The sequence below is a fragment of the Homo sapiens genome, chromosome 20 (genome assembly GCF_000001405.40).
Source record: "Homo sapiens chromosome 20, GRCh38.p14 Primary Assembly".
In the NCBI taxonomy this organism is placed as follows: Eukaryota; Metazoa; Chordata; class Mammalia; order Primates; family Hominidae; genus Homo; species Homo sapiens.
The window spans coordinates 42,196,129-42,209,352 of record NC_000020.11 but is presented as its reverse complement, the minus strand read 5'-3'; the positions used below and the strand labels follow the sequence as shown (position 1 = coordinate 42,209,352).

Sequence of the window (13,224 nt, the reverse complement as noted above, 5' to 3'; positions counted from 1 at the left end):
GATTCATTAATTTTTTGAAGGGTTTTTTGTGTCTCTATTTCCTTCAGTTCTGCTCTGATCTTAGTTATTTCTTGCCTTCTGCTAGCTTTTGAATGTGTTTGCTCTTGCTTTTCTAGTTCTTTTAATTGTGATGTTAGGGTATTAATTTTGGATCTTTCCTGCTTTCTCTTGTGGGCATTAAGTGCTATAAATTTACTTCTACACACTGCTTTAAATGTGTCCCAGAGATTCTGGTATGTTGTGTCTTTGTTCTCATTGGTTTCAAAGAACATCTTTCTTTGTGCCTTCATTTCGTTATGTACCCAGTAGTCATTCAGGAGCAGGTTGTTCAGTTTCCATGTCGTTGAGCGGTTTTGAGTGAGATTCTTAATCCTGAGTTCTAGTTTGATTGCACTGTGGTCTGAGAGATAGTTTGTTATAATTTCTGTGTTCTTTTACATTTGCTAAGGAGACCTTTACTTCCAAGTATGTGGTCAATTTTGGAATAGGTGTGGTGTGGTGCTGAAAAAAATGTATATTCTGTTGATTTGGGGTGGAGAGTTCTGTAGATGTCTATTAGGTCCACTCGGTGCAGAGCTGAGTTCAATTCCTGGGTATCCTTGTTGAATTTCTGTCTCATTGATCTGTCTAATGTTGACAGTGGGGTGTTAAAGTCTCCCATTATTAATGTGTGGGAGTCTAAGTCTCTTTGTAGGTCACTCAGGACTTGCTTTATGAATCTTGGTGCTCCTGTATTGGGTGCATATATATTTAGGATAGTTAGCTCTTCTTGTTGAATTGATCCCTTTACCATTATGTAATGGCCTTCTTTGTCTCTTTTGATCTTTGTTGGTTTAAAGTCGGTTTTATCAGAGACTAGGATTGCAACCCCTGCCTTTTTTTTGTTTTCCATTTGCTTGGTAGATCTTCCTCCATCCTTTTATTTTGAGCCTATGTGTGTCTCTGCACGTGAGATGGGTTTCCTGAATACAGCACACTGATGAGTCTTGACTCTTTATCCAACTTGCCAGTCTGTGTCTTTTAATTGGAGCATTTAGTCCATTTACATTTAAAGTTAATATTGTTATGTGTGAATTTGATTCTGTCATTATGACGTTAGCTGGTGATTTTGCTCGTTAGTTGATGCAGTTTCTTCCTAGTCTCGATGGTCTTTACATTTTGGCATGATTTTGCAGCAGCTGGTACCGGTTGCTCCTTTCCATGTTTAGCGCTTCCTTCAGGAGCTCTTTTAGGGCAGGCCTGGTGGTGACAAAATCTCTCAGCATTTGCTTGTCTGTAAAGTATTTTATTTCTCCTTCACTTATGAAGCTGAGTTTGGCTGGATATGAAATTCTGGGTTGAAAATTCTTTTCTTTAAGAATGTTGAATATTGGCCCCCACTCTCTTCTGGCTTGTAGGGTTTCTGCCGAGAGATCCGCTGTTAGTCTGATGGGCTTCCCTTTGAGGGTAACCCGACCTTTCTCTCTGGCTGCCCTTAACATTTTTTCCTTCATTTCAACTTTGGTGAATCTGACAATTATGTGTCTTGGAGTTGCTCTTCTCGAGGAGTATCTTTGTGGCGTTCTCTGTATTTCCTGAATCTGAACGTTGGCCTGCCTTGCTAGATTGGGGAAGTTCTCCTGGATAATACCCTGCAGAGTGTTTTCCAACTTGGTTCCATTCTCCCCATCACTTTCAGGTACACCAATCAGACGTAGATTTGGTCTTTTCACATAGTCCCATATTTCTTGGAGGCTTTGCTCATTTCTTTTTATTCTTTTTTCTCTAAACTTCCCTTCTCGCTTCATTTCATTCATTTCATCTTCCATTGCTGATACCCTTTCTTCCAGTTGATCGCATCGGCTCCTGAGGCTTCTGCATTCTTCACGTAGTTCTCGAGCCTTGGTTTTCAGCTCCATCAGCTCCTTTAAGCACTTCTCTGTATTGGTTATTCTAGTTATACATTCTTCTAAATTTTTTTCAAAGTTTTCAACTTCTTTGCCTTTGGTTTGAATGTCCTCCTGTAGCTCAGAGTAATTTGATCGTCTGAAGCCTTCTTCTCTCAGCTCGTCAAAGTCATTCTCCATCCAGCTTTGTTCCGTTGCTGGTGACGAACTGTGTTCCTTTGGAGGAGGAGAGGCGCTCTGCGTTTTAGAATTTCCAGTTTTTCTGTTCTGTTTTTTCCCCATCTTTGTGGTTTTATCTACTTTTGGTCTTTGATGATGGTGATGTACAGATGGGTTTTCGGTGTGGATGTCCTTTCTGTTTGTTAGTTTTCCTTCTAACAGATAGGACCCTCAGCTGCAGGTCTGTTGGAATACCCTGCCTTGTGAGGTGTCAGTGTGCCCCTGCTGGGGGGTGCCTCCCAGTTAGGCTGCTCGGGGGTCAGGGGTCAGGGACCCACTTGAGGAGGCAGTCTGCAGGTTCTCAGATCTCCAGCTGCGTGCTGGCAGAACCACTGCTCTCTTCAAAGCTGTCAGACAGGGACATTTAAGTCTGCAGAGGTTACTGCTGTCTTTTTGTTTGTCTGTGCCCTGCCCCCAGAGGTGGAGCCTACAGAGGCAGGCAGGCCTCCTTGTGCTGTGGTGGGCTCCGCCCAGTTCACCCAGTTCGAGCTTCCGGGCTGCTTTGTTTATCTAAGCAAGCCTGGGCAATGGCGGGTGCCCCTCCCCCAGCCTCGCTGCCACCTTGCAGTTTGATCTCAGACTGCTGTGCTAGCAATCAGCGAGACTCCGTGGGCGTAGGACCCTCCAAGCCAGGTGTGGGATATAATCTCGTGGTTCGCCGTTTTTTAAGCCCGTCGGAAATGCGCAGTATTCGGGTGGGAGTGACCCGATTTTCCAGGTGCCGTCCGTCACCCCTTTCTTTGACTCGGAAAGGGAACTCCCTGACCCCTTGCGCTTCCCAAGTGAGGCAATGCCTCGCCCTGCTTCGGCTCGCGCATGGTGCGCGCACCCACTGACCTGCGCCCACTGTCTGGCACTCCCTAGTGAGATGAACCCGGTACCTCAGATGGAAATGCAGAAATCACCGTCTTCTGCGTCGCTCACGCTGGGAGCTGTAGACCAGAGCTGTTCCTATTCGGCCATCTTGGCTCCTCCCCCTGCTACACTATTGATTCTTATGTGATGTAGCTCAGCCTTTGCCTCAATTACAGTAATTCTGAGTCAGTGGGGGCATAGATGAATAAAGTTTTGCTGCATTTGTAAGACACTGGAATCATGTGTACCACAGACTGAATTTGCCCTTCTAATCTGGAAGGGCAAATCCCTAGAAGAAGCATGGAGGAATGTGGAGCAGGTGTCCACATTCCTGAACTGGCAGGCAGAAAGCAGGGCTTGCATCCTACATGCTGTGCATCTTAGCTAAGGGACTACTCTGTCCAGGCCTCAGTGTCTTGTCTATGAAATGAGAAGATGCTATAGTTCCCTTACAGTTGCGATGTGTAACTTTAAGCTGAGATCTAGTCATGCCAGCAGAGCATCCTGGATTCAAAGAGGACAGTGCCAGCTTTTAGTAGAAGCAGGGCCTCACTTGTGAATTTTTTTTTTGGTCCACTTCCTATGGCTGAGATCTCTGACTCCAGGATTTCAATCTTCATGGTTTCCAGGAAAGTTTATCTGGAGATTGCAATGGAGGATGGCCCAGAGGAGGAGCCCTATGGGGAAGAGGAAGAGTGCCTGATCAGTGTCTCCCCAGGAGAGTGGGCATGGCTCCCACATTCAGGGAAAAACTCTAGGTGGAACCCTGTAGACTCCTGCCCCCACCAGTTGGCTGGATGGTCCTGTTCCTAGCCCAGAAGAGAGTCAAGGGTTTTGCAGAGTCCAAATCCTGGGATCCTCCACCACCTCTTTTCTAAGTGGTTTCCCAGTCTCTACTTGAACTTCTCCAATAGCAGGGAGCTGAGTACTTGCAAAAGCCAAACAGGGCAGGATTCCTGTCTTGTTTTTCATATCATCATCTCCTTCCTTCTAACAGCCACAGATTCAACGTACTTGCTCATTAACTATTTGTCCAACAAATTAATGAGCAAAGAGGAGGGAACTTCTAACTTTGGGAAGGAGGCAAAGACTTCTAAGAGTAGGGGACATTTGAGTTGGGCCTTAAAAGGTGAAGAGAAGGTTGCTAAACCAGAAAAATTGGGGAGGGGAATTCAGGCGTTAGGTGCTTCCAAAAGAGACCTAAGCAGTTCTACTTTGCTAGAAATTCCTTCGTTGTGCCATGTTGGTGTGCTGCACCCATTAACTCGTCATTTAACATTAGGTATATCTCCTAATGCTATCCCTCCCCCCTCCCCCCACCCCACCACAGACCAACATGGCACATGTATACATATGTAACAAACCTGCACGTTGTGCACATGTACCCTAAAACTAAAAGTATAATAAAAAAAAAAAAAGAAATTCCTTCGTTGTATCAAGCCAACCTGGTCCTCATTCTGCCCCTGGGACCATAGAGACCCAACCATCAGATGCATGAAGAGAACGTTACTTTGTATTCCCTCTCCGTGAGAAATGTCCCTGGATGTTTCACGCACTCCTCCTCTCGTAGCATGATTTCCACACTTTTAACAGCCCTTCATTCCTCTCCCGTGAGCCATTCTACCTGCCAGTATCCCTTGTAAAGAGTGGCACTCAGAACAAATCACAGGACTCATGGTCCATCCTGGGCCCATCCCCTGCCACCTACCCCTCCCTCAGCTAACAAGCGAAGGTCAGAGAGAGCTCAAAGTGATCCGTTAGAAGGAAAATGCCAAGAGCTATGGCCGCGTCACCTCGTCCTCACCTGTCAGAAGCAGTAAACTTTGGATTGCTGTGTCTTAAAACAGTCTTCAGCTTTGGAAATGTTCCTGCAAAGGAATAAACAGACTTATGCATACTCTCTTTTTATCAGCTTTTGGTACCCCCTGCTGGCGAAATTGTGTGACCCAGTTGGCAAAAATCTCAAAGCAACTACAGAAAAAAATCCTCAGTTCAGAAAGTCATAAGTACTTGAGTTTTGAAGGCTCTGAGAATTCCATGAATTATATGATCATCCCATGAGTCATATGACTATTGCATGAGATTTTTTTTTTCTTCTTCAACATGCTATAGCTGCAGCTATTTTGTGGGCTCTGCGGGGGAAATCTCTGACTCCCATGAATATTTTGTTAATTCTGCAAACATTCCAAGAAGGAAATGCTAAGTTACCGCCCAAAATATTTCTAGTTACGAATATTCCAGGTCACCAGCTAATTTTATGCAGGCGTTTCCTTCTCTTTCTTTGCACGTATCTACTTTTAAAGTGGTTGTAATTTGTGTTCAGAGTAAGAGGACTATCTTTTCTAGACTCCAAATTGCAGACTTTTAAGTATAAATTCGTGCAACAAGTTTATTGAGCCATGTGCCAGACACTCAGCAAGAAATTGGAGTAGGTGCAAAGAGTCAAAAGCCCTTTCCCAAGAAGTTCTTGTCGTAGTAGGTGAAAGAGTTGAATCACTGCAATTTGACTCAACAAGTACGTAGCTAACATGGCACCAAAACCCTCCCTGATCTGCTGCCAGGGTTCAAACCAGGTTCTAGCTCTTACATAGCAACAGGTATTTCTTCTTGGTGTTCATCGTCTTTGTGATTTTTGTCTCTGTATTTATCTGTTTAATGCCCGTCTTTGCCATTAGTCTTCATGTTCCATGTGGATTAAGGTCAAGAAGACATGATCTTCTAGTATTTAGCAGAGACTTATACATGTACATGTTCAATGGATGAGTCAAGCAAGAGGAGAAAATTATAATTCTATGTAGAAGAGCAGGGAGAAGCCTCAGAGGAGATGTGACACTTACATTGAGCCTTGGAGGACAAAGAGGAGGTGACCAGTGGAGAAGAAGAGGGACACATCAAGGAATATGGAGTATTGAGAAATAGTGTGGTGGGAGGAGGTAGTTGATGTTTTCTGAAAGGGGAGGATAAGGTTATGTGCAGAGAATAAGACTGAGTTGAAGCCCAGTCCTTAGTTTAAGGGTCTTGTTTGCCCTATTCACAGATTTGGGTTTCTCTTTCGTTGAGAGAGAAAAATAATGAGGTAGTAAATTAAATTATTTGGCTATGGAGATGAATGTCAATTTTTCTGTGTTACTGAGAGGTCTTTTTAACACTTAAATTCAGAATTCTGAAAGAATAGATATAGATCCCCAAACTGTGGTTTTGTGTTTTATTTCCTTCCACAAATACCCCCTCCATTTCCACCTTGTAGCTGTCTTTGCCAATTGCCATAACATCTATCCATACATTAAAATGATTATATAACATTATTATCACCATGAAAATACAGAGTCAGCCATCAGCTTTAAATACTAAGGATGTAATATATCTGATATTTTTACAATTCAGTTAGCTTTCCAATTTTTAAATATGTGTTTTGGGGATGCTTAGTTTTTCTTTTTTTAATACAGGTGTTCAGAGCTACCCAAACATTTCTATAAAGTACCATTTTTCATAAAAGCAGCAAGGCTTTCATTATTATTATGATTCCTTTGAAAACCAATGATCTGTGCCTAAGACAACCCTTTCCATATTACTTTACCCTGAATGGAATGAGATTGGTTGAGAGTTCTGCCCCTAAGGAAATATCAAAGCCTCCGAAACATACTCATTTATAGTTTTAAGTTAACTCTCTTATCAGATTTCCTTTTATTTCCTGCTGGGGCAATGTGAGCAGAGCTCAGATAGAAGCAAAGAATCTGCTATATTTCTTTTCAAATTTATGATTAAGAAGGTCACATATACATTTTTAAACACACTCCTTTTTGATAATAAATGAAGAATAAAATTTCAAAATGTCATCAGAAGCAGAATTGCTCATTTTTCTTTCGTTGGCATTCCCCCGCCCCTGTCTAATTGTCTGACCAATCCAATGCTTCATTTCTTGTTGTATATCTGCCTGGAATCATTTTACTGGTAGAACAGTGTGCCTGTGGCCAAAGCATTATAATGAAAAGATGCATTCCTCTTCCTGAGTGCCTTTCTTTCCCCGAGCCAACTTAAAAAAATTAGTGAATAAAGAATTCCATTTTAGGCTACATGTTTCTCCAAATTATGGCCAAAACGAGACGTATAAAGAAACTTTCTCGGCTGGGCACGGTGGCTCCCACCTGTAATCCTAGCACTTTGGGAGGCCAATGCAGGCGGATTGCCTGAGCTCAGGAGTTCAAGACCACCCTGGGCAATATGGTAAAACGCTGTCTCTACTAAATTACAAAAACTTAGCTGGATGCGGTGGCAGACACCTGTAGTCCCAGCTACTCTGGAGGCTGAGGCATGAGAATTACTTGAGCCTGGGAGGCAGAGGCTGCAGTGAGCTGAAATCGCACCACTGCACTCCAGTGTAGGCAACAGAATAAGACACTGTCCACACATACATACACACACACACACACACACACACACACGCAACTTTTCTCTTCTTGGTTGGGATTCCTGGATCCAGTTCCCCTTTCCACCTTTCTCTACTGTGCTCTCTGCTTCCAGAGTGCATTCTGTATGAAGTCTGTCAAAAAGATCACTTGCCACTTCTGACTTGTTGGGTTCAGCTAGTGAGAACTGCCACAGGCGACCAGAGGAAGGGCATAAGGTGTAGTCAGGGCATTTTTTTTTTTTTTTTTTTTTTTTGCCTCTGGTTCTCTCCCTGTCAGGTTGTCTATGACTGGCTGGGCCTTTCAAGAGAAAGCCGCTGCTTCTGTTCAGGGTACCTCCTTTTCACAGCTCTCTTCTTTGGGGCTCTGGTTACTGCTTCCTCTATTTGTTCCTCTGGTCCCATAGGTAATAAACAGCTCTCCTACTGAGGCACTAGTATATTATGGGTCTCTATACATTTGTCACCTTTATCAGCAGACCTTTTATAAATAAACCTTCCTCAAATTGTCCTCATTTGAGTATGCCCTCTGTCATTCTTCTGTGAAGTCTACACCTAGAGCATGAGATTCATGTTTCAAGGAGGATGCTATCAAACTGGAATTTGTCCTATGTGAACTCCTCTAAAACACTTCTAAGCTGAGGTTTGGGTCTTTCTTTTCTTTTCTGTTTTTTGTTTGTTTGTTTGTTTGATGGGGTCTCACTCTGTCACCCAGACTGGAGTGCAGAGGCGTGATCTCGGCTCACTGCAGCCTCCACCTCTTGGGCTCTCAAGTGATCTTCCCACCTCAGCCTGCTGAGTAGCACAGGTGTGCACCACCACACCTGGCTAATTTTTGTAGAGATGGGGTTTCACCATGTTGCCCAAGCTGGTCTCAATTCCTGGGCTCAAGTGATCTGCCCAGCTCAGCCTCCCAGCGTGCTGGGATTACAGGCATGAGCCACTGTTCCCAGCCTAAGTTGAGGTTTATCCTTTCCTTTTATACTTCCTCTGGCAGGGAGATTGTTACCTCTTGAAACTATCTGTTTCATGATCAGTGGGGCTCAACCTTGGAAAATTATTCCCTGTATTGCACTGGATTTGACCTCTCTGGGACAGCCCTTTTTGTGTGTTGAGACAGGACAGGAATGACCAAAATTGAATTTGAAGCCTACTGTTGTGAAGGATGGAGTAAGAGACTTGGAGAAATTTACTCTCAAGATATCTGATGTTTAACCTATAGCCTTTCATGTGATAAGACTATAACAGCTATATTTCGATGCATATATGTTGGAAAAAGAGGGACCATGTTCGCTTTTTCGAAATATTTGAATAACTCTTATATGCAAGAGGAGTTAGTCATATTTTTGTATCTCTAATGATATATCTGAGACCTATCCAGTTAAAATTTAAAGGACATAGATTTTAAATCCATAGAAAAGAACTTTTTAACTTTTTAGTTCCTCAGTGAGGTCAAAGTCCACATCATTTGAAAGAATTCAGGGAGAGATGGGATCCCACAGTGGGGCTGTTGGGGAGGGAATTCCAACATTAGAATATAGTTGGATCCACTGGCAATAGTAGAAAAAACAAGAATAGCAACTGCTAGGTGTCTAGTGTCCACTATGTGCGAGGCACTGTGCTCTGTGTATTTTATGCATTGTCTCATTTAATCCTCACAACCCTATAAGGTTGGTCCTGTCATCTGCCACAGTATACAGAAGAATAGTTCAGGATTTAGAGTAAGAAATTTGCCCTGGGTCTTGCAGCTAGTTGGCAGGCAGCAGAGGTAAGCTATGAACCTGAGTCTGTCTGACACCAAAGCTGATATTTTTAACCTCCAGTGGCTGGTGTCAGAATAACTTGGGGAACTTGATGGCCATGTAGAATTCTAGGTCCTGTCCTACTTCAATGATCCTGAGCCTCTGTGTGTGTGTGTGTGTGTGTATTTTTTTGTGACTCTTCAGGTGATTCAAATTTACACCAAAGTTTGAGAAGCACTGCTCTACACTATTATTATCATAATAGTTATATTATGATAATATCCGTCTGGTTCTGAGGGTCTTTTATTCCCATGGGAATAAGGTTGCATCAATTCAGCTCTAAATTTCCTTCTTTTGAGCTGTGAAACTAACCCGCACACTCATCCATTTCCAACCACCAGCCCCTGCTTCACTCTACTATTATTTGGTAGGTTTTTGATGAGCTCAGTTCCTGAGAAAGACAAGCCTCCATTTTTAATCTCATTCAGAGCCACAGAAACAGAAAGGCCAGTCTAGCCACTTCCTCCCTCTGAAAGGAGACTTAGGGAAAGGAATACAAATCTTGTTGATTTCCTCTGAAAGGAGAGTGGGGGAAGCATTGTACAAGTCTCATTGATTTCCCATTTTAGGCTCAAACATAGAACACATGCATTGTCGGGGGTGAGGCAGCAGCGTGAGTCTCATATTTCTGAGTAAATGGAAACCATTCATGGTTTGTTCTGCCTTGATTCTTTTTCTGGAGAATGAACCAGATTTGGGGGTTGAGGATGAGCATTGGGGAAGAACAATCTACCCAATGCTTTAATGCAACTGGCACCATCTGACTGTGGTTTTTTCCCCTTGCACATGTCCCAAAGGAAGCTGGCCAAGAAGCAGAAGGAGACCCAGAGTGGAGCCCAGAGGGAGATGGGGCCTGTGGCCTCTGCCGACAAACCCACCACCAAGCTCAGCGCCAGCCGCAATGATGAAGGCTTCTCTTCTAGTTCTCAGGACGTCAACGGATTCAGTAAGTAGAGCCAACAAAGGGGAAGGGGACATCCGTGGTCCAGCTCAGCCCTAGTACTTCTGCTGTGAACCCCACACATTGATCAGGTGCTGCCAGGCATAGGGTATGGATGCTTGCCTGATATGGACTGGGATGAAGGTTCTCCCTGACAAAGACTTGGGGCAGTTCATCCTAAGATGAAAAGGAATATTTAAAAAATCTTCCCCAAATCAGATGGAAATGGGAGCAAGTCATCCTAACTGCTTGTGGACATAAATAGAGACAGGTTAAAAATAATAGCAGTAAAAAAGAAAGAGGAGGAGGATGGTTATGTCCTTAAGGAGAAAAATATGCCACACTGAATTGAGTGGCTTAAGATTTTCAAATCTGTGTTTCATATACACCACATAAGGTAGGTGAGTCACAGATTATGACTGTCTCCACTCTGAGTGGTTAGGAAACTGAGGCTCAGAGAAGCAACTTATCTAAAATACAATGGCTGATGAGTTACATATTTAGATTGGAAGCCTCATCCCTCAAACATTTGCCAGTTCCACCACAGCCAGTGTTCCAAGTAGCATTGGTCAAGGGCACCTGAGTCCTTGTGCAGTGTTAATAAAGGATCCCAAGATTTGGGTGGTTAAGATATCAGGGTTAACCCTTATCCTAAGAAGAACTCCAAGACTGCCAACATCTAAGGCTTCCTTGTGGACAGACTTGCTTCTGTTCTTACAGCCATTCTATCAGACAGTTAACAGACTAGATTTCCCAGCCTCTTCCCCAAATTGGGTAATGCAAGAAGTCTCAAAGAATCTGTGCATAACACAGATGTCCTCCACATACCATGTAAGCTACAAATGGAAGAACCTCCATTTTGTAAAAAATCACTCAAGAGATGATCAGTTTGGGATGATGGGGATCTATGAGAGGATAAAGAAAGAAAGAAAAAATTTATCCCCTTCTATAATGTAGACACTGTCTCTCATCCTCACCATAGTCCTGTAAGATCCTTAGTATTATTGTTCCCATTTTATAGGTAAGCTATGCAATGCTAAGTGTGTTTGGCCAGCCATCTCAGAGCCACACAGCTTGTTTTTAATGGATCCAGATCTGAGAGTAACTCAGGCCCATGATTCCTAAGCTCCAGTGTAGCACAGAACCTACCTGGGGAGGTTTTCAACACATCCATATCTGGACCCCACACCTTATCTCCTGAATCAAAATCTCCTGGGGGATGAGAGGTGGGGCCCAACTGAGGGATATGGATTTTGTAAGTCATTCAGAGAGTTCTCATAGGCACCCAGATTTAGAATACAGCACTTGGACAGAGGCAATAGCTATGCTTAGATACTGATGTACTGTCTTTGGGAAGAGAGATTAGTTTAAACCTACAAAAATGTTGAGAAGACAGCAAAATGAATACTCATATACCCTTTACCTAGATTCACCAACTGCTACCATTTTGCAACATTTGCACTTTTGCACTTGGCTGTACTCACCCTCTCTCTCTTTCTCCCCTTATCCATGTTTTTTTTTTCAAAATTTTCTGAATCATTTAGAAGTAAGTTGCAGACATCATGACACTTTACCTCCAGAGAATTCAGCATGTATTTCCTAAGAACTAGGATACCTCTTCAACATAACCACAATAAAGTATAACCTTACTTCAGTGATCTAATATACCAGTTCATAGTCAAATTGCCTCAATGTCCTCCAAATGTTCTCTATTGCTTATTTGTTTGTTATTTTAATCCAGGATCCAATCAGAGCGCTCACATTGTATTTGGTTTTCAGCTGTCTTTATCCTCTTTGATCTAGAACAGCCCTCTCAACTTTATTTTTTCTTTCAGGATACTGACTTTTTTTTTTTTTTTTTTTTTTTTTGATGGAGTCTCACTCTATCACCCAGGAGGGAGTGCAGTGGTGCGATCTCTGCTCACTGCAAGCTCCGCCTCCTGGGTTCACCCCATTCTCCTGCCTCAGCCTCCCAAGTAGCTGGGAATACAGGTGCCCACCACCACGCGTGGCTAATTTTTTGTATTTTTAGTCGAGACGGGGTTTCACCGTGTTTGCCAGGATGGTCTCGATCTCCTGACCTCGTAATCCGCCCGCCTCGGCCTCCCAAAGTGCTGGGATTACAGGCGTGAGCCACCACACCCAGCCTTGACATTTTTTTAAAGTCTAGGGCTGTCGTCCTGCAGAGTGTTCCACAATCCAGATTTGTCTAATTTTTTTCATCATGATAACATTCAGGTTACACATTTTGGCAAAAATATGACATAGCTGATATGACGTACTTCCCTTTACATCCTATTAATGGACATATCATACCGCTTTGCACATTACCAGTGATGGTAAGTTTGAGTTCTTCTTAAGGTTAGATAATGGCTTTTAAAGACAAAGTCTAATGGCACATACTGATTATGAGCAAATATTTAACATCTGTTTTTCTTAGGGATCAGAGCAAATTTGCGGTTTGCCTAACCATGAAGCCAGTCCTTTTTTTCCCATTTTCAATCCAGATAAATCACTGAGACTCATACATTTCCTAGAAGCAGGGAAATTGGTTGTTGACATAGACCAGGGTTGACAAGAAAATGGGCTTGATTTTTCCTTAAAAGAAAGGAACATCCTAGCTATAATTTTGCATCTGTAAACCAACCTCTGTTGCAAAATTACAGGTAGCTAGGAGGAATAAGTTCTAATGTTCTATTGTACTGTAGGGTGACTATAATTAATAACAGTTTATTGTATATTTTCAAATAGCTAAAGCAGTGGATTTTGAATGTTTCTAACACAAAGGAATGATAAATTTAGAGGTGATTAATATATTAATTACCCTGATTATTATACATTATATACATGTATCACACTATACCCCATAAATATGTATATAATTAGTGTCAATTAATAATAATAGAAAAAAAGAGAAAGGCTCATCAGGAGCTCACTGAGTCTCTGGCTATGCTAAGTTGTCACTGGATCCCCTGCTTTCGGCTCTGGGGCAGAGAAGTTCATTTGCAAGTTCATCTGATTGAAAATACTGGTCAAGTAATACCAATTCATCCTTTTCTGTCCAGTCCAGCCTCTTGTGCACTTTTTTCCATTTGTAAAAGTACCCTGGGAGGACTC

At 42.7% G+C, this 13,224-nt stretch overlaps 1 protein-coding gene across 11 annotated transcripts in view, besides 1 other annotated feature; it reads left to right on the top strand.

Moving 5' to 3' along the window:
• The window catches only part of PTPRT (protein tyrosine phosphatase receptor type T), a 1,158,017-nt gene that overhangs the window by 980,554 nt on the left and 164,239 nt on the right, over positions 1-13,224 (top strand). For all 11 annotated transcript variants that reach the window (XM_047439848.1, NM_001394024.1, NM_007050.6 and 8 more), the window contains one exon: positions 9,965-10,113. In XM_047439848.1, coding sequence (XP_047295804.1) covers positions 9,965-10,113 — 149 coding nt within the window. The remainder of the gene's footprint in view (positions 1-9,964; positions 10,114-13,224) is intronic.
• Positions 2,781-3,413: an enhancer, noted in NCBI's record as "H3K27ac-H3K4me1 hESC enhancer chr20:40834580-40835212 (GRCh37/hg19 assembly coordinates)". NCBI's record gives its function as "activates a minimal SCP1, AML or CMV promoter by ChIP-STARR-seq in naive H9 embryonic stem cells {active_cell/tissue: H9 hESC(naive)}" and the evidence as "EXISTENCE:reporter gene assay evidence [ECO:0000049][PMID:30033119]".